The sequence below is a fragment of the Homo sapiens genome, chromosome 19, assembly GCF_000001405.40.
Source record: "Homo sapiens chromosome 19, GRCh38.p14 Primary Assembly".
NCBI classification, from domain to species: Eukaryota; Metazoa; Chordata; class Mammalia; order Primates; family Hominidae; genus Homo; species Homo sapiens.
Window position 1 is genome coordinate 1,847,658 of NC_000019.10, and position 4,741 is coordinate 1,852,398.

General features: G+C 60.6%; 1 protein-coding gene across 8 annotated transcripts in view, besides 3 other annotated features; it reads right to left on the reverse strand.

The window, feature by feature from the left end:
- Positions 1 to 826, reverse strand: part of REXO1 (RNA exonuclease 1 homolog) — a 33,236-nt gene extending 32,410 nt beyond the window's left edge. For all 8 annotated transcript variants that reach the window (NM_020695.4, XM_017027028.2, XM_017027029.2 and 5 more), the window contains exon 1: positions 545 to 826. In NM_020695.4, the coding sequence (NP_065746.3) occupies positions 545 to 701 (157 nt within the window). In that variant the 5' untranslated portion in view covers positions 702 to 826. The remainder of the gene's footprint in view (positions 1 to 544) is intronic.
- Positions 554 to 1,023: a silencer, noted in NCBI's record as "silent region_9745". NCBI's record gives its function as "represses an Ori minimal core promoter by ATAC-STARR-seq in GM12878 lymphoblastoid cells {active_cell/tissue: GM12878}" and the evidence as "EXISTENCE:reporter gene assay evidence [ECO:0000049][PMID:35858748]".
- Positions 1,044 to 1,193: an enhancer, noted in NCBI's record as "active region_13627". NCBI's record gives its function as "activates an Ori minimal core promoter by ATAC-STARR-seq in GM12878 lymphoblastoid cells {active_cell/tissue: GM12878}" and the evidence as "EXISTENCE:reporter gene assay evidence [ECO:0000049][PMID:35858748]".
- Positions 1,214 to 1,293: an enhancer, noted in NCBI's record as "active region_13628". NCBI's record gives its function as "activates an Ori minimal core promoter by ATAC-STARR-seq in GM12878 lymphoblastoid cells {active_cell/tissue: GM12878}" and the evidence as "EXISTENCE:reporter gene assay evidence [ECO:0000049][PMID:35858748]".

A 4,741-nucleotide genomic window follows, 5' to 3' on the forward strand; every position in this document is an offset into this window, starting at 1 on the left:
TTCCTCCCTGCCAGTCATGCTGGACACAGGGCTCGACAAACACAAGAGACGATCCTCGGACCATCCTAACTCAACGACTGGAGACTGAGGTGGCCGCTGCCAGAGGCGCGGCCGGAGGAAACGTCATGGAAATAAACAAGGGCGGCCACAAGCACATGGGGTCCGGGAAGCGGCGGGCGCCAATCAGGGGCAGGAGGAGTCCAGGACCTGCCTAGCGCCGGCCGCGCCCGTCTCCCGAGCCCCCTTGTGTCAGGCCCGGTGCCCGGTACTCAACATGCGCTCGCACTCCGCCCTCTAGACAGCCCTGGCAGGACGCGTCCTCCTAGTTGACATTTCACACTCGTGAAGACGAAGGCTTAGGGACATCTAGTGCTTTGCACCGGGTCCCAGGGTGGGTGGTTCCGGTCCCGACTGGGAAAACCGTCGCCCGCGAACGTGTGGGGAGGAGGCTGGGCCGAGAACGGGGACCCCGGGCGGGACCGGGGTGGGGTCCAGACCCGGGCAGGGGAGCCGAGCCCAAGGCAAGCAGGCGGGCGGGCATTACCTGCTGCGGGGGGCGCCTCTCCGCCGTCACCGGGCGCGCCGGAGCCCCGGGCCCCGCGGTGCCGGAAGTGGCAGTAGGGCCGCCGGCAGGGCCCCCCGGGCGCCCCAGACCAATAGGGGCAGTCAATGGCCCGGAAGAAGCCAGTGGAGCGTAGCATGGTCCGTCCCGCGGCGGGGCCCCGGCCCGGAGCCGCCCGGGCCCCAGGGCCCCCTCACTGGCGCCGCGGTCGCCGCCGCCCGCGCCTCACGGACCCCGCCGCCGCCATCTTGCTCCGAGGCCCCCGGAGGCCCTCGGGACGCCGCCGCAAGGGACCCCGGGAGGGGCTGCCCGCAGCGCGCCTGCTCAGAAACGCCTGCTCCTGCGCGACCAAGGCTGGTGACGGACCCCTGGGCCGGGACAGACGGCCGCGGGAGGAAGTAAGGAGGGCAGGGGCTGCCCTGCCTGCGGTCTCCGGGAGCCTCGCCAGCGCCGCCGCCCGACCTTCGGCGGCTGTAGCGGCGCCATCTTGAGCCCCAGGCCCCTGCGGCGCCAGGGCTGTCCACGGCGCGCCTGACCAAAAAAGCCCCGCGGGGCCCGCTATTACTCATTTGCATATTATTTCCTTTCGTTAGCATATCACCTTAAGGCGCCCTCTGCTGGACGAGGAGAGTTCTGCGGGGAGGTGGCCTTAAACCTGGGCCAGGTGAAACTCATGGTTGAATTACTCCGTTCACAGTCTTTAAAAATCCCCTCGCCCTGGTATACAGCTGGCTCTCAAGAAACGCCTTAATCTCCCCAACCTCGACTCTTGTCATCAGTCTAATGACCAGGTCCACGTTCACTCATTTGTTCAACAAATATTGAGCGCCTACTGTATACCAGCTAGAGGGTGCATTTTAACAGACAAACGAGGAACAAGGCTGGGATGGGGCAACTCTGTAGTCTGGTGGAGTAGGCCCACGTCTTAATGGGAAGTTTAACCTGGTGCATTTTGGTGGGATTGTAAAATAGTGCCACTGCTATGTAAAACAAAAAACCCAAAAAGTTTGTTTTTAAGAGACAGGGTCTTGCTCTGTCACCCAGGCTGGAGAGCAGTGGTGCGATCACGGCTCACTGCAGCCTCGACTTCCCTGGCTCAGGTGATTCTCCCACCTCAGCCTCCCGAGTAGCTAAAACCACAGGTGTGCACCATCATGCCTGGCTAATTTTTTGTATTTTGTGTAGAGATGGAAAAAGTTAAACAGAATTACCCTATGAGCAACTCTATTCCTGGGTATACACCCAAAAAGAATAGAAAGCAAAGTCTTAGGTCGGGCACAGTGGCTCATGTCTGTAATCCCAACACTCTGGGAGGCTGAGGCGGGTGGATCACTTGAGCCCAGGATTTCAAGACCAGCTTGGCCAATATGGCAAAACCCTGTCCTACTAAAAATACAAAAATTAGCTGGGCGCGATGGCTCACGCCTGTAATCCCAGCTCTTTGGGAGGCCGAGGAGGGAAGATCAACCGAGGTCAGGAGTTTGAGACCAGCCTGGCCAAGATGGCGAAACCCCACCTCTATTAAAAATACAAAAATTAGCTGGGCGTGGTGGCGGGCGCCTGTAGTCCCAACTACTTGGGAGGCTGAAGCAGGAGAATCACTTGAACCTGGGAAGCGGAGGTTGCAGTGAGCCAAGATTGCACCACTGCACTCCAGCCTGGGTGACAGAGTGACAGTCCGTCTCAAATAACAATACAATGGTTAAGATGACAAATTTTATGTTATGTGCATGTGATTTTACCACAATTATAAATAAATGACAGGATGCAATGATGAGGGGACGTGGGTTGGGATGGGTCATGGGCGACTCTGCAGAGGACCTGATCTAATCTCAAAGCTGTCCTATCATGGGCAGTGGAGGCGTAGACTCCCTGTCATGGCTCCTGATGATGCGTGAGAGATGAACTCTCATTTATGCGATTGCTCCATCCGTGCCGGCTGGTGTCGGTCATTCATTCAGCAAATAGTTACTGAGCACCTACTGTGTGCCACAAAATGCTAGAAACATCCATAAGCAGAGCAGAGAACCCCACTCTGGTGGAGGTGATGGTGTAGGCAGGGAGGCCGACAATGAACACAGCAATAAGTGAGACAGCCTGAAGCCAGGTGGAAAGTGCTTTGAGAACAGAAACAGGAGAAGAGCCTGGACTGGGCACAGGGCTGGTCTGGGTGATTCTATGGGGAAGGCGGGATTTGTGCGGTTTTACAGAAAATTAGGGGCCAGGCATGGTGCCTCTCGCCTGTAATCCCAGCACTTTGGGAGGCTGAGGCAGGCAGATCACTTGAGGTCAGGAGTTCGAGACCAGCCTGACTAACATGGTGAAACCCCATCTCTACTAAAATTACAAAAATTAGCTGGGTGTGGTGGCCCATGCCTGTAATCCCAGCTACTCGGGAGGCTGAGGCAGGAGAATCCCTTGAACCTGGGAGGCGGAGGTTGCAGTGAGCCAAGATTGCACCACTGCACTCCAGCCTGGGTGACAGAGTGAGACAGTGTCTCGAAAAAATAAAAGATAAATAAATAAATAAAAGATGATGAGGGAGCCAAGCAGGCTTCTGGAGGAAAAGCATTCCGGGCAGAGGGCACAGGCCATGGGCAGGACTGCGCCTGGTGTGTTGGAGGAACAGCGAGGAGGCCAGTGTGGCTGGACCAGGGTGAGGAGGGGGAGAGAGGCAGGAGGGAAGAGCAGGGAGAGGACGGGGCAGGTCATGCAGAACCCTATGGGCCTCAGGGAGGACTTGGGCTTTGACTGTGAGGGCAGTGGGAGCCATGGAGGGTTGCGGGCAGAGGAGGAACCAGACTTGCCCCAGGTGTTCACGGACACCCTCTGGTGGCCGTGGGGAGGACAAACCGTGAGGAGACCAGGGCCAAGGTGATTGCACTGGTTCAGGTGAGTCGTGAGGAGGCTAGACCGTCGCGGTGGAAGCCCTTACAGCAGGGAAAGGCGGCCAGATCCTGGATCTATTTTGAAGGTAGAGCCCAAGGAGGTTTCAGATGGGCCAGATGTGGGTGGTGAGACACACAGTGGGGTCCAGGGTGACTCCCCAAGGATTTTGGCCTTGCAGGATGGAACTGCCCTCGACCGAGGAGGGGGCATGGCAAGAGCAGCCTGCGGGTGGGAGGGACGCCCGGGAGGGTCGGGGTCCCAAAGGCACCAAAAGGATGGTGCTGCTTCTGGGCACGTGTGTGTGCTGGGGGTGGGGCGTGTAATTTAAAAGCCTAATGCGAGTGTGTCCGTCAGAGAGAGGGGTGAGGCTGCGAGTGTAGACCCCATATTCTAGACATTTTGCTCCAGAGGGGCAGAAAACCAGGCAGGAGCTGGAGGGGTGCGAGAGTCCCGGGAGTGATGTTTGTGGGGCGTCCGGTAGGATGGGAGGATGGGTCGGGCAGGATTGGGGGTGCACGAGGGAGGCTGCCCTCGAGTAAAGCCGGGAATTTGCCGCCCAGGTTGGGGAGGGGTCTGGCGTGAGCCGGCGCCGGCCGCGCGATACGAGAGGCCGACCACCCCCTTCCCCGGGCGGGCAGCAGGCGAAGCCCCAGGGCTCAGCAGGTGTGTAGGAGTGGCCTGCCCGGCCCCATCCCAGCCCCGCCGGCCTCCAGGCTCTGGGGAGCGCTGGAGTCCACAGTGGTTTTTTCCTGGGGAGGGCCTCAAAGCTCTCACCGCCCCCTCTTCCCTATTCCCACTAGGGGAGCTGGCATACAGTAGGCGCTCAATACAGGAGCACAGGAGCCTGGGAGGCGGCCGGGGGACCCTCCGTGGAGGAGCCTGTCCCGCGCCGGCGAGCAGCCCCGGGGGCGCAGGCTCCCCCATCCCCTGCGGCACCGGAAGGGGCGGGCGGTGGACGCCCCCGGGCGCCCTGTCACTGTGCCTCGGTTGCCAGGCAACGGGGCGGGCGGGAAGCTGGGCGGGGGGCGCAGCTGCGCCAGGCGTGGGTGACACCCGGCGGGCGCAGCGCGCGCTGCTGCAGGCAGCCCCCTCCGCGGGGCTTAGGGCTAGGGGCAGGGCATTTTGTGTCTCAGCCAGAGGGGCCTGGCCAAGACCCCCTTCACTAGCCCGCTGCCTCGGTTTCCCCACGAGGTGGATGAACTTGGGACCACACTGGTGGGTGGGACAGAGGGATTCAGAGCGTGCCCACAGGTGGGGACTGCCACGGGAGAGACCACACACACGCTGGAG